The 21,607-nt window shown below is 41.6% G+C and overlaps 1 long non-coding RNA gene across 1 annotated transcript in view; it reads right to left on the bottom strand.

Annotated features, from left to right (window-relative positions):
- Positions 1 to 21,607, bottom strand: part of ADAMTS9-AS2 (ADAMTS9 antisense RNA 2) — a 326,599-nt gene that overhangs the window by 193,243 nt on the left and 111,749 nt on the right. Inside the window, exons 2-3 of the long non-coding RNA NR_038264.1 lie at positions 18,481 to 18,761; positions 8,375 to 8,431 (exon numbers count right to left, since the gene is read on the bottom strand). This is a non-coding gene — a long non-coding RNA (ADAMTS9 antisense RNA 2). The remainder of the gene's footprint in view (positions 1 to 8,374; positions 8,432 to 18,480; positions 18,762 to 21,607) is intronic.

Raw genomic sequence — 21,607 nt, 5'->3', positions numbered from 1 at the left:
TCAGTTACTGCAATCCTAAAAGGCCAGCCTCCCAGGGTGCTGGGCACAGAAAAGAATAGTTACGCACAGCCCAATCAGAGCTTCCAGTGCTGTGGTCAACAAGTAGTCACTATGCGTGTAATAAAACAAATCAATTTCATGCTCTTATTAGAAACAGTGTGGTTATATACAAAGGAGGAGCGGGAAGAGAGAAAGTAACTGGTATTTAGTGAGTGTCTATTATATCCCAGGCACCATTTTGGGTAATTTCCGTGTGTGAACTCAGTTAATTCTCACAAAGACAATATGCAGTGGATAGGTCACCCTCCTACAGATAAAAACATGAAGGCTAAAATATTTAAATTACTTCTCTGTTGTCATACAGCCAGTAGGTGGCTGAGCTGGGATTCATACCAGGTCTGAATGAATTCAGAGTCTCTGCTGATTGCACCATTGTATGTAATGTGTCCATGCTTACATATAATTTGAGAGCTGAAGGCTTATGTATGTGAATATTCAGTAAATACATATATACATCAATGACAGGGAAACATTTCAGGCCTCAAAGGTCAGAAATGTCATATTTGTATCAACCTATAAGTCCTCAATACACACTGGTCTAACGTTCTCCGGAATGTGCCACCCCCTTAGAAATCTCTGAGTATATTTAAACATTGCTCCCTCTGCCTAGAATGCCCTGTTCCAGCCTCCCCCTTATCCTTCAAGGCCCATCACAGATGTTGTATTTTCTAAAATCCCTCACTGATGTCTAGATTTTCAGAATTAATGGCTTTTCATCTGTGTTTTCCAAATATCTCACTTGAAACACCTACCATCATTAGGTTTTTATGAGAGTAAGTAGTGTATGTGTCTCCTTCCTTAGCCTGGGTAGTAGACATTTATGGGTTCTGCCCTCACAGCCTCTATTCCCCCTTCTTTGGGTGTCAGTATCCTGGGTTTCCTTTGGGGAACCACCCCACCCGCAAGCCCCATCCCTGTGGTTAGGTTTGAGCTGCCTCTACTCCAACTCCAGGACTGGGCACAAGATCCAAGCTTAGCCAATCAGAGCAACACCTCATCCTGGACTCAGTGATTGTCTCAGAACTGGGTCCATGACCCAATCACAGCCAATCAAGCAATGTTAGCAAGGAGACCCTGGACTTCCACTGGAATGAACAAGAGAAAGGAGCTGGGGGAGGGGGCAAGGGGAGTCTTTTTCTTTTCTTTTTTTAAAAAAATATCTACTAGAAGATATAAAATCTGGAGCCACCACATAGAGAAAGCTTGTGTAGAAGTGAAGCAGACACAGAGGATAGAGGAGTAAAAAGACTGGAAGAGGCCAAATACTGATGACATTTGCTTGAACCATTTGGTTTGGCTAGCACTGCCTCAGATTTTCTGAGAAGTGAGCTGATACATTTAAATCTTCACATACTTACAACCAAAAAATCCTAACTACAGCTACCTAACAGAGCGTCTGTTGTACTGGACATGCTCAGAAAACATTCCTTAAAGTACACAGAATCCTTGTAAACTGACATCTGCCTATGCATCCAGGTCCTAAAACTAAAATCAAGTGGATCATCAGGTTTACCCTCTTCCATTTGGTTTTCAGACAGACAGTACTTGAAACATGTTTGCTAAAGACAGACAGAACTTCACATTCTCCTCCAGCACATGACACAATCAGAGGGAGATGCATTGTGCTTAAATAATGCATGAGGTAGCAAGGGCCAAGCCTGATGTATCAAGGTGTTGAAAACTGATGATGAGCCTGTCGCTTTTTTCAACCCATCTGCTAAGCTGCCCCCATGGATTATTTGTCAGTTTCTGTGAAGGAAAATGTGTGGGATGCTGACTCTGTAGGAAAATAAAATTGGGATTTTCCTTTCTAGTGTCTTGTTATTGTCCCTTACCCAAATGCATCTGTCCCTGGGCATTCTCCCCCAACAATAGTAGATAATTTCTTGGTGAATCTGAACAGCTCACAATTATTCCCTTCATTTTCACCTAACCCAAAGCAAGGAACTGACAGAAGCTACGCTTGGAAATTTTGCAGCCCACTGGACCAAGAGTGGGAGCCTGAAGTGAGCTGGGTCATTTTTCCCCAGGAATTTGAAACTAGAGCAGAGATAGAGAACAGAATGGATTCCGTCATTCCACGTGGTTGGAGCTCTAACAGATGGCCTGGGGAGCTGTGGGTGGGCATCCTTCCCCACCATGCGGGATGAGGAGCAGAGATGGTGAGTCTGCTGAGGCAAAGAAATAAAGCAGATGTGCAGATAGAAGCAGAGAGGAAGAGCATGTTGCCTATTCTAGTATTTCCTGAGCCCTCGCTGTATTTCTGCTTACACTTCCATTGCACAATCTCTCCATCTTTACACTAGATCCTCATTTTGTGAGTGAGCTAACACAAGTTGATGTCTGTTCCAGGCAATCAAGAAAAAAAAAAAAAAAAACCCTCATACATTAGCCGAAAAATTCTTAAGATGGGAAATCACCCAGGTGAGAAGAAATATCCCAGTTGAGAGAAACAAAACAAAAATTATCAAAAAGAGTTGGCAACAGTCATTCCAAAACCATTAAAGAGACGTCACTCAGCTCTAAGAAGAGAAAAATAAAGCTTCACAGTCGGCCAGCTGTGCAGAACTGAAATAGCATGGACCTACTCCATGAATTCACATAGTTGCTGAAAGTGAATTCCTTCCTGCAGTCTTCAGTCTTGCAGCTGAGCTATGAAATGTATTCCCAGTTTAAAATTCCTTTCCAAGTGCTATCCCATGACTTCACAAAGTTGTCTGCACACAAGAGCAACTCTCAAGCTGAGAGATGTCATGTTTGCATCATCGCTGACATGTAGACAAGTATTCAGATGGCCCATTAAGTAAATGCCCCTTGCAAGTATGGGGCACATCTGCTGGTTTGACAGCCTTTCTCTGCCTCTATAAGTTGGAAATCCCCAGCCTGGCTCATTAAAGAGAAACAGGCACGATTATTGTGTCAAAACACATTAGTGTATTTTATTCTGCCATTGCAGTTGCTTTTTGGCATTTGATGAAGCTAAAGAGATTTCAGGTTATGAAATCTGCGTTTCCTGCTTGTCTTTGTTTCAAAATTATATGTGGGATGATGTGGAAGAGGAATGTCAGTTAAGCTTCTGGACAATTCTCCCCAACCCACGAATGAATTGACATTCTTATAAAAAAAATCTGTCCCTGCTCCCTTTTTCTTGTCTGTTTGCTGAGCAAATGAGCTATTGGAAACAACAGAAAACATGTCCCTTTTTCTCCTCCAAAAAAAAGATAACCTTTCCCTTACTTTAATTGTAAGATGATTATCCGTATTATTTGACATCCTTTTAAAATATCTGGATAAAAGTGCAAACAACACGTTAATGAATTCTACAGATGATACTAAATTGGGAAATGCTGTTTTTCTTATTAATGACAACAATATATCAGGCAGCCATACCCAACAATAGCATCTGTGAGAGGGAAGGATGAAGTAGAGAAAGTCACATTTGTGACAAAGGCAGAAGGAGCCATGCAAAATATTAAAATTAAAATATAAAACCCAGATGTGTGAGTAGTGGACAGGTGAGCCTTGAAAACTTGTCAAACTAATGTGGCCATGTAATGGATGGACACTTAGAGAACTGCGTGCCCTGGGGACTGAGAGCTGAGCTATTTTTAGTTCCACAAGTAGAGGCATTGTGTCTCAGAACAGATAGTCTTTTCTTCCAGAACTTTAATAAGACCGCACCTGGCATAGGGTGTTCAGTTCTGGAACAGCACCACATGATGCACAAAAAAAAAAAAAGAATCCTTATATGTAAGATTTCAGGCTTTCTTTTTCTAGAAAGTAATGCAGCCACTTTTTTTTTTTTAGTAATTCCTAGCAGTAAATTGGCTGTTTTTACTAATTTGGTTCATCCTTGAGAGTATGAAAAAAATTGGATGCCTATTAAGCACCCCAGAATGAACACATTTAAATCTAAACTCTGGTCCCTTCCCTGATACCTCCACTGAAACCTGCCCTTTCCTCAGTCTTCCTGGCCTTGGTTCTTGGAATTCCATCCCTCCAGTTACCCCGGCTTTAGAATAATCCTAGACTTCCTTGTTTTCCTCAAACCCCAAATCCCATATATCAGCAAATCTTGGTAGTTCTAGTTTCAGAATAGATCCAGAATCTGACCATGTCTCACAATCTCCACTGCTACCACACTGATCACCAGGATCCCTCTGATCACGTCACTTCTCAAAAGTCTCCAGTGGCTTCCAAATCAGGGTGTCCAGGCCGGTATGATGCAGTGTGGCACTTCATACCTCTTAGATCACATCTTCTACACCTGCCTTGCCCACTCAGCTCAACCACACTAACACGCCGGGCAGAATCTGGTTATGTCTTTATAAATGCGATTCCCTGGTCTTAGAATTCTCTCACCCAGATATCCACATGGTTCACTCCAAAATCACCTCTGTAGTAAGGCATTTCCTGACTGGGAAGGGAAACTGCAGCCCACACTCACACCCCAGGCCTTCTCCACTCTCCCTGCTTTGTCTTTCTTCATTGTCCTTCTTATCAGCCAACGCACTATATATTTTGCTTATTTATTCATTGTTTGTCTCTCCCATGATATACACACCCAGAATATGCATTCCTGTTGTTTGCTTTTGTCTGTTTCATTCCCACACCTAGAACCGTGCCAATTGCACAGAAGGGGCTCTGTAAATATTTGCTTGGAAAGCTGAATGCAACTGGATGCCTGCTGCTAACGTTCATAATCAAAACACTTGATCAGAGTGAGCAAATTCTAAAAAGTATCTAAGTTCAAATCCAAAGAGCAAATCTATGGCAGAGCTAGGAATAATTTCAAAGTAACTTCCTTTGTCCATACAATGCAAGTACACTCCTTTCAGAGGCTAAATAGAGTTTTCTATACTGGCATCATCTCTAGCTAGAATATTGATCTGAAATTTGTTTAATCAGAGGGAATATATTTACAGAAGCATGTAATAGCTAAGGTAAATAGGCTTTTAAAAATCTCAAAAATGGGCTGTACGCAGTGGCTCACACCTGTAATCCCAGCATTTTGGGAGGCCGAGGCGGGTGGATCACCTGAGGTCAGAAATTTGAGACGAGCCTGGCCAATGTGGTGAAACCCCATCTCTACTAAAAATACAAAAATTAGCTGGGTGTGATGGTGCATTCCTGTAATCCCAGCTACTTGGGACGCTGAGGCTGGAGAATCGTTTGAACCTGGGAATTGGAGGTAGCGGTGAGCCAAGATTGTGCCACTGCACTCCAGCCTGGGCTGAAGTCTCAGAAAAAAAAAAAAAAAAACCCTCAGAAATATGGACAGCAAAGCTTGGAAAAGTGAATCTAGTGGAAAGAGTACTCACTCACAAATTAGACAAGAGCTAACGGATCTGTGCCCACCTGTTTATCATTCATAACACCCCTAGAATGAATGTAGGAACTGTTTCTATATTGCTTATAAAACTAGTGCAGACAAAGTGGGAATAATTTGCCCAAGGTCCAACATCTCTTCCTATATGCCCATCAATGACAGAGTGTATGAAGAAAATATGGTACACATACACCATGGACTACTATGCAGCCATAAAGAAGAATGAGATTATGTCTTTTGCAGGAACATGGGATGGATGGAGCTGGAGGTCATTATCCTTAGCAAACTAACCCAGGAACAGAAAACCAAATACTGCATGTTCTCACTTATAAGTGGGAACTAAATGATGAGAACTCATGAATAGAAAGAAGGAAACAACAGATGCTGGGGCCTACTTGAGGGTGGAGGATGAGAGGAGGGAGAGGAGCAAAAAAAATAACCACTGGGTAATAGGCTTCGTACCTGGGTAACAAAATAATCTGTACAACAAATCCCCATGACATGAGTTTATTATCTACATAACAAACCTGCACATGTACCCCTAAACGTAAAATAAAATTAAAAAAAAAACCCAGCGATAATAGGATATACCCAGGCAGGCCTGGCTCCAGAGCCCATGTTCTCATGCACTAGGTAGGATCCTCAAAATTTTGCTCTCAGGAACCCCTTACACTCCTAAAAAGTATTAAGGACCCCAAAGAGTTTTATTTATATGTATTATACCTATCAATATTTACTGTATTCAATCTTAAAACTAAGAAATTTAAAAATATTGCTTTATTCACTCAAAAATAACAATAAACTCCTATGTTAACATAAATAGCACATTTTTAAGAGAAATAATGATATTTTCCAAAATAAAGCATTTAGTACAAAGAGTAGCACTGTTTTACATTTAACATCTGGATTAACAGAAGACAGCTTGATGATCATATCTGTTCTGCCTTCAGTCTGTTGTGATACGTGGTTTTGATTGAAGTAGATGAAAAAGATCCAACTTCGAGACATAATTGGAACAGAGGGGAACTGTTTAGTAGCTTTTTTAGATCATTGTAGCTGTTCTTCTTTAATAGTACACAAAACTTGAAAAGTGATATTTCATAAAGGTTAGTTGTAATGTGGAATCTAAAACCATATCAATGAACTTTCCATACCCAAAATCCATGGGTCCATTTTATATTTTCAGCAGTTCTTTTACCCATGCATGATTTTTAAACATTATACAATGGACATTTGGAAGCTCTTGGTTCACTGAGCTTTACAGATCTTCACCCCCCGGCCCACCACCAATTTTTTTAAACCAGTCTGTTAATGTCAACACTACTCTCATTTTAAAAGGACATCAAGAACTAGGAAGCTGACAAGCTCATAGCAGCAGATCCAAGGTTTCCAAAGTTCTAATTTTTGCTTGAAAGCTCTCATGATATTATTGGCAACAATTACTTCTGGGGTGTCATCCCAGAGGCCTTTATGATAATTGATCTATCACATATTTCCAGGCATTTGTTTCCAGTTGCAGTTATGTTTTTATCTTCTGAAACTTTATCTGTGTGAGTGTATTTATAAGAAATCCTTGGCTGGGCCTGGCGACTCCTACCTGTAATCTCAGCACTTTGGGAGGCCAAGGCTAGAGGATCACTGGAGCCCAGGAGTTAGAGATCAACCTAGGCAACATGAAGAAACCCTGTCTCTACAAAAAAATGCAAAAGCAAATTAGCCAGATGTGGTGGTGTGCACCTGTAGTCCCAGCTACTCGGTAGTCTGAGAGGTGGGAGGATCTCCTGAGCCTGGGAGGTGGAGGTTGCAGTGAGCCAAGATTGCACCACTGCACTCCAACCTGGGTGACAGTGAGATCCTGTCTCAAAAAAAAAAAACCAAAAAAAAATAAAATAAAATAAAAATAAAAACTCTTATACCTAGGGAAAAAGCTACTTCGACTTACACAATTAACATCACTAATAAAAAATTATTTTGCTAAAGATTGACATCTTTACTCACCATTGCTTTTGAGTCGTCATTACAAATGTCAACACAATTTTAAAAAGGTAAATAACATCTTAGTGTTAGTATGAGAATAGTTTTGATGACCTGCCCCCTGAAAAGGCCTGCAGACTACACTTCGAGAACTGTTGCACTACACTAAACAACCTCTCAAACCCATGCCCTACCTCTTACGAATTTTGCCACTTAACCTTCTCCAAGTTTCATTGTCCCACCAGTAAAATGCAGATATTAATATATAACTCTGATCTTGCAAAATAATCATTTGTTAAGCCTTAGCAAAGTATGTGGTAGACAGAAAGTGCTTGAAAAGTGGTCACCGTCATGACCACTGTCCAAACCCCAGGCAAGTTACTGGCAAAACTAGGGCCCAAAGTCATGTTTCCTCATTCCTGCCCAGAGCCTTCACTGCTACATCACACCAGCAGGAGCAGAACAGTTCCCAATATGGCTGCTGTTAAAACAAGGAGCTAAGAAGCTGATACAGTTGATTCAGCAGTCTTTCTGGTTAAAGTCCTGGATGATAACTTGAAGCAGTTAAATGGTTCTGTGTTTGGGTAATGAATTTGCTGTGTGCTAGCTGTGTGACCTTGTGCAAACTCTCTGAGCCTCAGGTCTCTCCACCGTAACATTGGATAACAACAGCACCTACCTTAGGAGGTTGCTGTGAGAATTAAATGAGATAATGGACAGATGTATACCTAGTACTGGCCCAAAGGAAATGTTCAAATCATGGCTAGCTGCTCACTATGATGATAATAATGACTACTGTTCTTATCTTCATAGCTCAATACCCTTCCTCAGGGAAACCTTTTCCAGCCTTCTAATGAAGGCACCTATTTTAAGATCTCATAGCACCTGTACCCCTTCTTCATTAGATTTACTACAGCTGCAATATTTCAATATATGATTATTTGATTAAAGTTTGTCATACATACTAGGCTCCAAGCTCAATAAAGACAGGCACAGGATCTGTCTGCTCACCATTTTATCCCCAACATCTGGCACATTGCCCAGCACAAAGCAGGTTTCAATAAATACCTATTAAAGGAAAAAATAAAATAATTAATTTACTAGATTGGCAAAGCATAGCTTTACTCCATTATATAATTTATCTGAACTTCCTCCAGCACTTGTCACTCAAAGTGATCTGCAGACCAGTAACAGTACCCTAACCCAGAAGCTTGTTGGAAATGCAGAATCTATAGACATATGGAGTCAAAGTGTGCATTTTAACAAAATCCAGAGGTAATTCATATGGTCATTAGAGTTTCAGAAGTACTAACCCTTGACTGCTCTTCACTAATCTTAAGAGAATGAGAGAGAGGGAGAAAGGAAAAGAAAAGAGAAGATAATCACCAAATTTTCTGAGTAAAACAGCACTCACTTCCAAAATTCCGGGTCTCATTCTATTCCTAATACAAATATTAGTACAAACATTACCATTTCTAAAAACCAGCTGCATTTTTTTCTCAGCCCCGGCCAGGCTGCTCTTATTTTCTATTCACATATGATTATTTTCCAGAGACTATTTTGGCCTCAGTTGAATAATTTATTTCAGAAACTTTACATCCAAAAATATTCTCTGGAGGAGACAGAAACACCATCTGTGCCTGATACTGGAAAAACAGCCCCCAACCATGAAGTAGGGGTGTCATTTTAGAGTTGCAAAATTTGAATTCCTGTTTGTCCACCACAACCTCAGAAAGAAGAGAGAAAAATACAGCAAAACCCCTTCTGCTATTATAACACCAAACCAGTGCTTCAACAGCCCAAAGAGATTTATAAAAATATGCATGTTATCCATTTGACCCCTGGAAAAATTATAGTCTAGCTTTCTAATGAAAAGGTTATTATTTTTAGGATTTATTCCCATGTGTGAATGGTAAAGCATATCTATCATTGGATAATAATATACAAGAACTTCAAGGGTTCTGAAGAATGGTTCATTTTCCTGTGTTCTATCTTATATAATCTTTGGGGCCTGACTTCAAAATTCCCTTTGCTGCAATGTCCTCTCCTCCATAGGGTAGAAATGTGCCTGGCCAGAAGCAAAACACTTCACTGGATTGGGTGCTCCCTCCCATCACTGCGTTGGCTTGGTAAGACCTGAGCCGGAGAGTTGGTGAAGAGCAAATGGCACTTGAATTTATTGCTGCATATTCTCCCGCAGCTTCTTGCTTGCCTGGGACTCTTCTTTCTCTGATTCTCTCCCTTCCATCTCCTACAGATGTGGGGAATACCTGCTTTGAGAAATAAAGAAGCTGCTGAATCTACAGAATTAGGCTCCACAGAATCAACTCCTATGTGGGTGTTCCCCTGTGGTCATGGAGCTCCCACCCATAGCTTTTTACATGCGTTCTCATTCTCCCAGGGTCACAGGCATAGACATTTGTTGAGAAGATGATGATGGGAGTTAGGGCACAAGATAGAGACCCAAACTGAAATCAGAGCTGTCCTGATGGTCTAGTCTAAGCAGGTGAGCCAAGGGGACCAAGGGGCCTTTGCCCCATCTGTAGACACATCAAACAGAGTATCACTGATTGGTTGGAAGAGGGCAGTTACAAGCCACCTCAGTGTAATGTAAAGAAATTGGACTTTGGAATCACACACCTCATAATTTGAATCCTGGCTGTCATTCTTGCTAGCTATGCTTCCTTAGCAAAATTGTATTTTATAATCTGAGCCAGGTTTTCCTCATTAAAAAAAATAGGTATATAATATCCCTACATGGGGTTTTGTATGGATTAAAGGAGATTCTGTGACACAATGCACCTGGCATGCAGGCAACTCTCAAGGAGGGTTGGTGGTCCTTCCTCTCCCCTTTTCACTTCTCTGCTGAGGGTACCGTGATGTATTTTCCTTGCCCCTGAAAATGCTGATTGGAAAAGAAAAGAAGAAATAGGGGAGGAGCACAGGAAAAGCAGAAAAAGAAAAGAAGAAACTTCGAGCTAGTACTTATCTGCAAGTATGACTTAAAAAACTTGACTATCAAAGTAGCTGTTGTTCTTGAAGTAGTGTTTAAAGTCTACCTTAGGCTTGTTTATTATTTAATTTTTTCCTCAATATCTCCCCAGTAATTTGAGCATTATTCACATTTTAAAAGCCAGGGTTGCCTCTCCTACATAATTACTATTGAAATAAACTCTCTTTTCTGGTAGCCAGACATATCATTATTGGTCCTAACCAGAGTTCAAGAAGAGGATGACTGTAGCTCAGAGTCAAAGCTTTGAGTCTTGCTCCAGTGGTACTGGGGCCCCGTCCCAATAAGCCACCTCCTTGCCATCATACTCAGTCTGCTTTATCAGAGAAACAAGGTCAAGAAGAGGGAAACACTTGGAAAGATTGATGGGGAGCCAGAAAAGGAGGCTTAATCCATGGAGTTCTTGGCGCCAGTCATCACAGACAATCTCTAAATTGTAGCCAAGAGAGAATACCAGTCTCAAGATGTCTGTCAGCCTTGCTTCTACAGACAGTGGTGTTTCAGAAACTAAAAGTCTAAGCTGACAGGAAGGGAATCCTCCTACAGTCCTGTGGTGCATTGTTGATGAATGAAGTTGGTTTGCCTGGTGAGGGCAAGAGGGGTGAGCTATGTGGACTGAAAAACAAAATGGAAAGTTAAGGGTAGTTTAGCAGCTACAAGAATCATCCACAGGCTATTATAGAGGCTGGCTGACTTTGGCATCATTCTATTCCAGAAGTCCTAACCATCTGGAATGTTACACTAGTTAAAACATTTCTGTGAACACTTCAGTTGTTTTAGTATGATCACACCACCGCCAGCAGGCTCATCATACTTTAATTTTATCAAAAATAGCAAGACCTGTTGATTTACATAACTTTTCATCCTGAGCCACAGTTTAGTCTTCCTGTAGGTTTTCTAACCCAGTGGTTTAAACCTACAGCTGGACATTGGAGTCACCTGGGGATCCCATGCCCAAGCCATTCCCCGTGTTAATTATTAATATATCTGACTCTTTCAGGGCAAGACACAGGCATCAGGATTTGTTTTTAAAGCTTCCCAGGTGATTCTCGTGTGAAACCAAGTTTGCAAACCAGAGTCATAGTTTAAAGGTGGTGAGAGTGGATGGGGGAGTGAACAGACCTAATACAACCACGAAATAACTCAGGCAGCATTCTCAATATTGATCACCCTCTTACTGGGCAAATTAGTGAGGCAATACGAAAGTTGTCTGTGTCTTTTTGCATGTTTTATGAAACATTTTATGTAAAGTCAGGTTTGCATAGGGTGAGTGTCAAGTTCTACAAGAATTATAGTATATCTGTCCAGAACTCTGACCTTTTAAAAAAGTTTTTACACTTATACCCATGTTCTCTGTATCAGGCACAATACAAGTTGCTAAGGATGCGATGATGATGATGATGATGAAACATGGAGGTAAATGTTATTAGCATTTCCCTGCGATGCGTGAGATTTGAAGAGGTTCAATAATTTGCCCAAGGTTACACAGCTAGTATATGTCAGTGGGGGAGGCTTTAAGCCAGGGATTTGAAATCTCACTTGGCATGCAATGATGAATTAGGCAAATACGGCACTGTCCCACTTTTTAATCAGAGTTTATTATTCTATTTTGGCATCACCAGAATTAACCCAATGGTAGGCCTGTGATATTTTGTATAAAATATTTGCTGAATCAGGTATTTTCTCACCCTCTCAGCCTCGTATGGAAAACAGATACATACATGATGATTATAACATAATGTATCAATGGATGCCCAAAGTATTGTCAGAGGAGAAATAAAGGGGCAGTTAATTCTGCTTAAGTGGAGAGGATGGTGTCAGAGGAGGCTTACAAATAGGAGGGTGTTTTTTGGAAGGCTTTAAAGACTGAACAGGAGTCGGTCAGTTACAGAAGGAGGAAGGATGCTGAATGGAAAGAACAGAAAGACCAAATACACAAGAAAGAAAGTGTGAGGCACACTGGAGAAATGATCAGCGTGTATCAGTGTTAAACTAAGAGTGCACTGGAATCGCTTGGAGGCTTGTTATAAACACAGGTTGCTGGGCCAAATCTCTTAGGGTTCGGATTTAGTAGGGCTGTGTGAGACTGAGAATTTGCATTTCTAATGACTTCTCAGGTGCAGCTGATGCTTCTTGTCCAGGGATCCACTTTGTTGGGAGCCTGTGGTGTATATGAGAGCATCCTCTGGAAAGCCCCACAGCTTTTGTGTGTATGAGAGGCATGCCAAGGTCAGCAAGACTTGCACCAAAAGCAAATTCCCCAAAGAGATGAGGATCTTCTTTTCCTGCAAGGAGTGGAGGTTAAATTTTACTGTTGGTTTTGGGAGCAATTCATACTGAAGCTGTCCAGTGGGAGGAAACGGAAAAACCACAACTTGGGACTGAAACAAGGGAAGCTGGGATTTTATCGCATCTCTGCCCCATCAGTGCCCCTATTCACAGGCTAGTGAGGCCTGAGGCTAAGGAGTTGAAACACACTAGCTCTTTGTTGAACTGGTGAGTGTTTGTGGCACTTTTTGCAGGGAAGATGGCATTTTTCACAGTTCTTCCTCCATTTTTGGCCCTGAGGGTGCTGACCATAGGTGAGTTCCTGTGTTCATCACCAAAGTGATCTGTTGACCATCAGTGCCCGGCCATGAGGGATGAGGGGATGTGTCGAGAATGTTTTCGTGCAGAGAATGAAGAGGGTAGAGGAATGTCAGGCTATGTTGGGTGGGACTGGGACAGATGACAGCCTTGTGAAATTCTTTTTTTCCCTGCTTCTAATTCAATTACCTTGCTTTGCTTCTCTCATTTTCCATAGAAAAACTTAGGATGCATCTGCCATTGTTCTCCAAACCCTTTAAATGGGATGAGCAACTTGGAAAGGTCAGCCTCCAAGGATGCTCTCTATTTCTCTCTCCCCACCCCATCCACCTAGGACAGACAAAACCAGGTCTGGAGGTCATATTTGTCCAATAATTGAGGAGCAGGTGGCATCTAGCTCCAGTACTCCCTGTATCCACTGGGTTGCTGTGCCAGGTGACAGCCATCAGAAGTGTGTGTTACATTCCAGACAGGGACCCCTCTAAGCCCCACCATAACTGCCAGGAGTGACAGAGGAGAGTGGGAATCACCTGCCAGAGACAGGGAAAGAAAACAAAATCATGAAGTTTGGATTCTGTGTTCCAGCTTTGTTTTCTTCATAATGCAGTTCCCCATGACTCCATTGCAATCTTCTGGAATACTTCTAGAAACCCACTTAGTAGTCTGCGGAGTTACTTGGCCAATATTGTCCTGGAGATAGTTACGTTGCAAGGTTTTAATTTTCCTGCTGTTAAGCAGGAAGCAGGGAGACAGAATCATCACCTAAAAGGTAAATATTCCCTAACACAGGGTGAGCATGGTGCTGTGGTTTGCACTGGAGGCCTGTTCTCCATTTCTCTGGAGGATGGGATCTTTATTATCAAGATTATTGATGAGACTCTGGCTTCCTTTCCAGAGATGAAGTATTTTTGTCATCATGTCTATTATCCCTCACAAGAACCCAATTAGAAGAGATTGCCTCAACAGAGGAGGCTGATTAAATTCACAGATTTATTGCAATACCACTTTGGGAGTTGTGGAAAATGAGTTTCACTGCTAAGCTACCTTCCTTTAAAAAACAAAAACAAAAACAAAAACAAATCAAGCTGTGAGCCTGCACCTTGAATTATCCGTCTATAACAGATCATAAAATACCTATAACCTTGCATGCAGCTTATTCTTCCCCAGAGAGGCTCAAAATGCTTCTCCCAGGCTCATAGTACCTCCCCAAAGAGCAGGTGATGGATTCTATGTTCATGGGACACAAGGGGAAATTCTGATCCAGCAGTAGGGTAGAGAAGACAGAGGCCTGCTGCCTGTAGACTAAAGAAAAAAGTCAAGCTTTGAAAGAATTAGAGTTAGCTATATTCAGAAGTCTTACAAGGACTATAGACTGAGCCTGGGTATTAATTCAGTTCATAATAGGGCAGTATTTCAATTCACAGTTTACATATAGGTGGTGAATATTCAGTACGTGCAAAATCACGGCAAGGTTTGGGGGTGAGAAGACATCTGGGTAGAGATTACAGAAGAGTAATTACTAACTCGGCCATGTTATCTCGAGTGGAAAAAAAGGCAAGGACTAGGGCCCTTTACTTCTTAAAGAGTATAGTGACTCAGGCAAGAGACATTGCGGGTGTGTGGGTTTTGTCTTCAGAGCGTCCCTCCGGAGAGCTGCATGTTGTCAGAGTTAAGGGCTTTGTGAAATTATGCTGGAAAGCAGAAATGACCAAACATAGATTCTTACATTTGCTATTTTGTCTCACACCTGGATACGGGTCAAAAAAGAAGAGTTTCCTTTGCAAAGTTTGCGACCAACTTGGGCAAGGAGTCTTTGTTTTAGTTGGGTCCCGGAAAAGCTGCTGTTAAGTGGCAATGATATCTACATAATCTGATTCTCCACAGAAATGACGACTGTACTGATGCCGCAATCAATCCTGTCCCCAAAACTCATGCCCCGAAGTTACAGGAGTAGCCACAAGCACCACTGTCAAACTTCTAATTTTCTATTCAAGACAGCCCCTTTCCCCCAAAGTCTTCTGTTTATTTAAAGCAGCATTTCCCAGACTGTTTTTAGCAGAACCGTAACCTCCCAGGGTGTTCTGAAGGAAAAAACCAGGTTTTATGGAGGTAAATTTTGCATAGTACTGTATGCTCTATACCCCTCAAGATCCTTACTAACATACTAAAGATAAGAGCTAACTCTCAATGAAAATCTACCTGAAGCCAAACACTAAGTACTTTTTATAGGTTTTATGTTATCAAATCTTCAAAAAACAATACTCTGAGAAAGGTATTAATTTATCCCATGTTACACATGTGGAAATTGAGGTTTGGCGTGGTTAACTGAGTTGTCCAGTTAAAGGTAAAAAGGCAAAAGGTGGAGCCAGGTTTGAAATCTACTCTCATTCCCGTCTGTGCTCTTAATCGCTAAGCTTTATCTTCTTCCCACTAACTATACAGACACTTTCTTATATTGCTGTTAATGTCTTTTGCATTACTGCTTCTTTACACAAATGAGTCCATTCCTAACTGTAGCAGTTAGTCATCTTTTGTTTATCTTTTTTTTGTTTTGTTTTCATGTCATTACACTGGCCAGCTCAGTATCATTTTAGGTAGTATCTTCCCTTAACATCAGGCATTTCCATTCCCATCTTATTTGGCCTTCGTGTAACCGCTTCAAGCATGCTTTAGTGGATTTTCATCTGTATCTTCGACAGTTTATGGATAAACAAAGATGTAAGGAAGACAGGATGTGACTGAGTTTATTTACCCTGCCTTTGGCAAAGGAGGCTTTGTTCAGTAAATGAAAGTCAGTAAAAAGTAAAAGTAGGATAAAAACTGATGCCAAGGGTATATAGCTAGCTCTCCATGTTATGTAGGATATGGATTTCTTCCACTATTGAGGTCTTTGTAATTAGTAGATAAGTCGTTTTATTGTGAGAGGTAGGACAAGGAGAGGGAGAGAGGAAAGAGTGATTTTGTACCCTTCAGTTTTATCTGAAAGTATTCACTAAACTTGGGAACCATGTTGACCGCTAATGACCTTACCAAAGCATATACTTGCTCAGGAAATGGGCTTTTTGAGAGGAGAGAAGAGAAGAATGTGAGTTATTAGCAGTGGCCCTGTCTCAGCAGGGGCAGGGCCAAAGGGAAAAAGTACTAGAAGGTGTTATCTGTGGTTCCATTAGATTGCACACGGTTCCTAATCTCCCCTATCATGCTTGACCCTTATTAAGTCAGCTTCCTTCTATAGCTCTGTGTTCTCTGAGAGCCCACATATGATAAGATTAACCCTCTCTTTCCCCCCTTGATCATTCAGGACTAATTTCTTGAGCATCTACACTGTCCTCAGTATGTCCTTTATACGCAGGCCAAATGCCCTGTGTGGCTTGCATCATGTTTGAGGAAGTGTTTTGTGGCTGAGACTGTGCTTAATGCTCTCTAGGGATGACTGATCTCCTTCCATCTTCCCGACGGTCTTACCACGTACAGCCTGTTATGAGCTGTGCTTTAGGAAACAGTCCACTGAGTCTGAGAGAGGAGAAATGACCTGAAGGACACTCAGCTAGTAGGGCGTAAGCAGGGACACCAACCTCACTCCTTTGATTCTGAAGCCTGCACCCTTTATGACTATCGCATAGCCCTGCCTCCCACATTACATGATATGTGAGTGAGAGCTCCTCCACTGCCATCCCATTCTTCCTGCAGGGTATTCTGTTTTGGAAATGTAAAAAAAAAAAGAAAAAGAAAAAAGGAAAAAAGAAAACTGACTCATGTATTAAGAGCAAATGTTATTACTAACTAGGTAAGTGGGACCTCCAGTGCTGCTAGGAAAGAAATAAATCAATCAGGCGATCATTAATTTTGGAGGAAATACTAATTATAGGAATATAAATTCTTCTGGGTAAAATTGCCAAGAACACCAATGTTGCCTGAAGCCCAACAGACCTTCTCTAGTTTTACTCTGTGATTGAGATACTAGAATTCACTTTTATTTCTCTAGCTTTGCAAAAGGTACTTGGAACTGGTCTGAAATGTCATTTAATTTTCTCAATGCATACAGTAAGCCACCTTTTAAAACACAGGTAATCTCTCACAATTAGGGAAATACCCATAAAGGAAGAGATGAGGGTGGGGACAAATATACTGCCGTTTTGTTGTTGTTGTTTCTGGGTTTTTTTTTTTTTGTTTTTTTTTTTTTTCTGAGACAGGATCTCACTCTGTCACCCATGCTGGAGTGCGGTGGCACAATCATGGCTCACTATAGGCTCTAGCTCCTGGGCTTAAGCAATCCTCCCACCACAGCCTCCTGAGTAGCTGGGACTACAAGCGCACACTACCATTTCCAGCTAATTTTTGTATTTTTTATGGAGACAAGGTTTTATCATGTTACCCAGGCTGGTCTCAAACTCCTGGGCTCAAGTGATCCACCGCCTCCGCCTCCCAGAGTGCTGGGACTACAGGTGTTGAGCCACTGCGCCTGGACTATACCGCTTTCTTACATTAAACACTTTGAAAATTAAGCAGAAGCTATTCAGCAACAAAAATAAATGAACTATTGAGCCACACAAAGTCATGGAGGAAAGTTCAATGCATATTGCTATGGGAAAGACATCCATCTAAAAAGGCTATTTTTTATATATATATATATGTATATATATGTGTATATATATATGTATATATATGTGTATATATATATGTATATACACATATATATACACATATATATATACACATATACTGTATGACTCCCAACTACCTCACATTCTGAAAAAGGTAAAACTGGAGCCAGCAAAAAGATCAGTGGTTCCCCAGGGGATGGGAGGGAGGGATGCACAGGAGGAACACAGGAGATTTTTAGGGCAGTGAGATTCTTCTGTATTGTACTATAATGGAGGATACAGGTTATCATATATTTGACAAAACCCATAGAATGTACAAGCAAAGAGTGAACCCTAATGTAAACTGTGAACTTTAGTTAATAACGTATGGCTGTTGGCTCATCATTTGTAGCAAACGTATGGAAACAGAGATGAAAGGGGTGAGAGAAGATGGGAACTCTCTGTACTTTCCCTTCAATTTTTCTCTAAACCTATAACTGCTCAAAAAATAAAAGTCTTAATTAAAAAAAATTAGAGCAGAAGAGAAGCACATTATTTCTCAGCATCATAGCATCTCTGTAGATGATGGTCTCCTTGTCATGGGGGAAAGATCCTCTCAACACATTATAACAACTCATTGCTCTTATTGTGACAACCAAGGAATATATGAGAGGCCAATTTAAACATCTCAGTGGGTTGGAAGGACAAAGCAGACTTTGTGTCACAATAGAATTCATCTCTTGGAACGTGGAGATGGCAGGAGATAAAACAATACTCTTTATCACCGGCAGATTAACCGGCAAGGACATGTTCTTTCTGTTTATCCTATAGGCTCCAAAGGACAATGAGCCTTTTGTCTTTACACCTGTTGCGGGGAAGGAGCCCAGGACAGAGGTGTGGTGGGGTTTATGTGAGGCCACGCAGTTCAGGTTTCTTACCTGCGTCTCTGATGGTACACCCTGTTTCATAAAGGAACTTGGAGACTGAGCCCTCAGCGTTTGAAGGGAAAGGAGCAGGTCCAGGTGTTACTTGAGGAGAAAGCGAAAATATACAAATCCTTGTTGGAGAGAAATATAGCAAAGTTGCGTCATGCTTCGGCTTTCAGCCAGACATCAGGGTTTCTTGGGGGTCTTGCTCTTTCCTTATCCTCAGCTTCTCACTCAGCGCATGGTAAAGGCTGGTCAGAGGCTTCCTGAATGAATGAACCTCGAGGACTTTGCTGTAAGAAAAGAGTGTGGAAAAGTGATTTGTCAAAATTGACACCAGGTTTATCCAGCTGTTTCACTAAAGTTTCCAGATACCCATTTTTTGGTGGGACTGTGTGCGTTGATGGCTTCCTTCATTCTAAACCCTTGCTTGTAATGGGATCTGTTGGTTTTGACTGGCTTCTTCAGGAACAAACCCTCCAATTTCCTTTGAGGTAACCAGCCTTTCCCCTATTCTTAGTATGGGAAGTCGGAACTTAATAATTCCTTTTAACACTTTCTTTTTTCCCTGGAAAGCTGCTGGATTTGCATATGTTCAGCCGTATCATCCCAAGGGGATGGTCTGTGGCCTCAGCTCAGCCAGAGCACTGTCTTCCTTTGCTGTCAGTAGGATCAGAGAAGGACACATAAGTTGGACCCATGAGAATTCTACCTGAGATTTTGCTGGAATGATGTGAAGTGTTCTTTTTTTGACTGGGATTAATAAATTAGCAAAATGTAAGCCTAGAGTTCTGAAACCAGCCAAGCCTAAAGTCAACACATTTCCTGGACCCTTGAACAATATCAGCCACTAAATTCCTAGGACTTCAATTACCTTACAATGAATTATAATTTACCAGTGTGTCCATTTATTCTCCCTTATATTGAAATTCTAAGTCTCCATTGTTCTTTTACATGCTGATGTCCTTCAGATTATAATTTAGAGGGGAAATTCTAACTGGGAGATGGTCTGCCCAGACCCTCAACCACTCCCTGGTCTAATCACACCTCCAAATGGACAAAGAAAATGTCTGAAATGGAGAGCCCTACAAACACCACTTCCAAATTCCAATAAAGGCAGAATTCTTTGCTGAACATCTCACTACACCATGAATTCAAAACAAACTGTGGCTTAGACAAAGTTGGCATGGGGTAGAGTCCTGCTGAACAGATTGAGACATCAGAGAATGGGCCCTTGGGCCATGCCTGGCACACGCTCCGAGGACATGGCCCGATGCCATGGCTCCCTCTCTGTCTCAATGCTCCATCAACACCTGGAGTGGAACTCAGGAGCTACGGCAGCTTGTACTCAAAAAATGACCTCAGCATTCATGGATGGGCTTGAAAAATGAAGAGCGATGTTCTGTATCTCTTGACCCCACTCTAGCCATTAAATCTAGTAAGAACTAACACCTATTGTGTGTTGCTGGACCAAGCAAGGTACTGAGTACTTTTCTGGCATCAGCCCCTCTAACCCCCCTCACAATCCTGTGTGGTATACGTCAAATGGGGCCTAGAAAACTTACAGAGCTTGCCCTGGATCATTCAGCAGGGCTCAGACCAAGTAGAAGGACCCAGGTGCTCAATCACAATATTGACTGTTCTTTGTAGCAAAGAATAAAAATGGTGCCTGGATCATGGCTTTAAAATTGTGAAAATTAATGTTACAACTAGGAAGAAGCCTCAAAATCACTTAGCATGATGGAAAAGCTGAGGTACAGGGAATGACATGACTTCCCCAAAGTCACACAGCAAGTTAAAGCACTAGATGATGAAATCTGGTCCTGGTCCACCAATTCTTTCTCGGCACATACCCTGTTGTTTTAGGATATATGCACACCACACCACATAACCAGTTGTTCAACAGGCATCACCAGTACAGATGCACAGATAGCAAAGTTCTAAAGTATTTCCAGACCAGGTAGCAAACTGCAGTGTCCAGAGACTATCTCCTTCTCCCCTCATGATTCCTGACCTCCCCACAATTCATCAATTAAAGGGTTAATGTTTAGCATTGCAGGGGGCCCCCAGGACCCTGCTCCATCCCAATGGCCAGCATCCACTCCGAGTAGTCAACACCTCTGCTGTTTCAATTAAGTATTTTTAATATGAGTCTTTCACTAATACAAAAGCCAGCACGGATTATGGGAATGTCATGGGTGAATTGCAGGCCACATCTCAGTCATTAACATTGTTATCTCAAATATAAGAGGTAGACAAAAGCTGATAATGCTAACTGTGCCCAAGACAACAGGGAGAGGCCAGAATGAGGAAAGTTCATCTCTGGCATTCAGGGACTCTGGAGGCCTTTCCCTCCTCTTCCAGGCAGCATTCAAGGGTGCTAGGTTAAGAGATGCCCTCCCTGCAGACAGGAAAAGTTCAGGGTGTTTGAACTGCCTGTGGGAGGCAAGACAGGTCTTGCCTCTCTCACCTTCCCTGTTTCTTTCTGGATGGCAGAGCCATCCCTCAAGCCATGGGAGCTAAACTGACAACTGGGAAATACAAGGACAGGAAAGCTTGCCAGACACAGGGACATGCAGGCCAAGGCTCCTTTCAAAGTCAGCAGGAAGTAGAAATACACATCATCTCTGCCAGTGACTAGAGACCAAAAAAGACCAGTGGAGCCACACTTGCTGACTCTTCTTAGCTGCAGAGATGGAGAAATGAATTGCTTATGGAAGTGAGGCCCTAATGCATATCTTGCCCACCGTAAGTCAAGTGTGCCCTGCTAGCCAGTCTGAAACCGCCTAGATTCTAATGGTCTGCCTTCATAAGATGATGGTATATTGGTCAGTTTTCACGCTGCTGTAAAGAACTACCTGAGACTGAGTAACTTATGAAGAAAAGAGGTTTAATTGACTCATAGTACCGCAGGCTATTAACAGGAAGCATGACTAGAAGGTCTCAGGAAACTTACAATCATGGCAGAGGGCAAAGGGGAAGGAAATGCATCTTATCATCTTACCATAGCAGCAGGAGAGAGAGTGAAGGGGGAAGTGCCACACACTTTTAAACCATCAGATCTTGTGGAAACTCACTATCATGAGAATAGCAAAGGGGAAATCCGCCCCCGTGATCCAATCGTCTCCCACCAGGCCCC

The sequence above is a fragment of the Homo sapiens genome, chromosome 3 (assembly GCF_000001405.40).
Source record: "Homo sapiens chromosome 3, GRCh38.p14 Primary Assembly".
Taxonomy (NCBI): Eukaryota; Metazoa; Chordata; class Mammalia; order Primates; family Hominidae; genus Homo; species Homo sapiens.
The sequence above is the reverse complement of the archived record's forward strand: the minus strand, read 5'-3'. Positions and strand labels throughout refer to the sequence as shown.